The sequence below is a fragment of the Homo sapiens genome, chromosome 4, assembly GCF_000001405.40.
Source record: "Homo sapiens chromosome 4, GRCh38.p14 Primary Assembly".
Classification (NCBI taxonomy): domain Eukaryota; kingdom Metazoa; phylum Chordata; class Mammalia; order Primates; family Hominidae; genus Homo; species Homo sapiens.
The window spans coordinates 116,509,645-116,511,366 of record NC_000004.12 but is presented as its reverse complement, the minus strand read 5'-3'; positions in this window follow the sequence as shown (position 1 = coordinate 116,511,366).

The window sequence follows — 1,722 nt, the reverse complement described above, 5'->3', positions numbered from 1 at the left end:
TTAATAAATAAATAATTTTTGTTTTTTTGATCCAAATGTTTACAGTATTTTAAAAATATTCTTGACATTGGTATTTTTTGTATGTTTATAACAGGTTGATAATTTTATTACATGAAAATCAGATATAATTTTGTTTATTATTTTTAATTTTTGGAATATTTAAATATTTCTTAATGTGTGATCAATGTTTATGATTATTTTATACACTCTTGATGGTAGAAATTCTATTCTACTTTATAGAATTGTACCACAGGCATAATTGAAATTAGGTCTATTTCATTCTTAGTTAGATTTCTATATCCATATTTTTGGGGAGTTCCACATGAACACTATGTACTATGCCTGGTAATCTTTTTATCAAGTGTAGCTCTAGAGAAATAATTTGACTTTTATTTGGTTTATGTCTTTATGTATTTCGAATTATGATACTTTGTCTTGTTTGACAGTTTGCTAATAAGTTTCTCGCACCTGATTTCTATGAGTGTAAATATCACATCATTCTGAGCAAAGAGTAATGAGAGGTCATGTGCTATGGGGCCTCTAGGAAAACATTTTCCATTTTAGAGCATATTTGTAAGTAAAGATGGTCCTTTTCTAAATCTCAGCATTGCTTTATCTTGATGTAGTATCTGGAGATACCATGACTATTTACCAAAGGACAAAACTGACACAGAGAAGGTGACAAAGAAAACATTCTGAAATTTGCCCTGCCTGCTAGTCAGAGATGATAAATTATCCTTTTTGTTTAAGAAAATGAAGTGAAGCAGACAATACCCAAACTGATACAGTACTTGAAAAAATTCTGCAAGAAAAATCCTGGGAATTGTGGTCCCCCAGTTGAAAAAAAAATAAAGTGAAATGTTTTGGCTGTTCACTTTATATTTCAGCAATAGTTTGTTTTAAAACTTTTGGTTCACCTGTTCTACACTTAAATGGTTCATAGGATATTTTTTACTTAAGAATGCAAGATTGCAATATGGAGAAGAATTTATTTCCCTCTTTATAACTTATTTGATTTTGTCACATGCATCCCAGATTCTGCCTATTTCTATGAGGTGCAATGAGTTTACTAGACTATATGTCTCACTGTTTGCCATTATCTTTTTTTGTACAGAGAGCCGTGTCCTGTTTCCATCTACAGATATGTCTTGTTTTCTTTATAAAATGTTGTCCTGTATTATACCTTAATTTTTTTTCTCTTTTGTTTGGGTCTGTCCTTCATAGATAGATATTTTGTGCAAATCGGAACTCATTTTTCTGTTTTATTCCATAAGAGCATCATTTTTCTCTCTTTTAAAAATTATGTGAGTATGTATGTATGTCTATTGTTTTTAGTTTTTCTTAAATTATGACTCAGAAATTCGGCTGGGCATGGTAGCTAATACCAGTACTTTAGGAGGACAAGGCGGGAGGATCACTTCAACTTAGGAGACAAGTCTGGGTGACATGGATAAGCCCTGTCTCCACAAAAACTACAGAAATAAGCCCTGCATGGTGGCGCAGAGCTCTAGTCCCAGCTACTCAGGGCTAGGGTAGGAGTTGGGGGTGGCTGAGGTGGGAGGATCTCTTGAGCCCAGGAGGCCAAGGCTGCAGTGAGCTGTGATTGTGCCACTGCACTCCATCCTGGGTGACAGAGTAAGACCCTGTCAAAAAAAAGAAAAAAAAAAGAAAGAAGAAAGAGAAGAAAGAAAGAAAGAAAGAAAGAAAGAAAGAAAGAAAGAA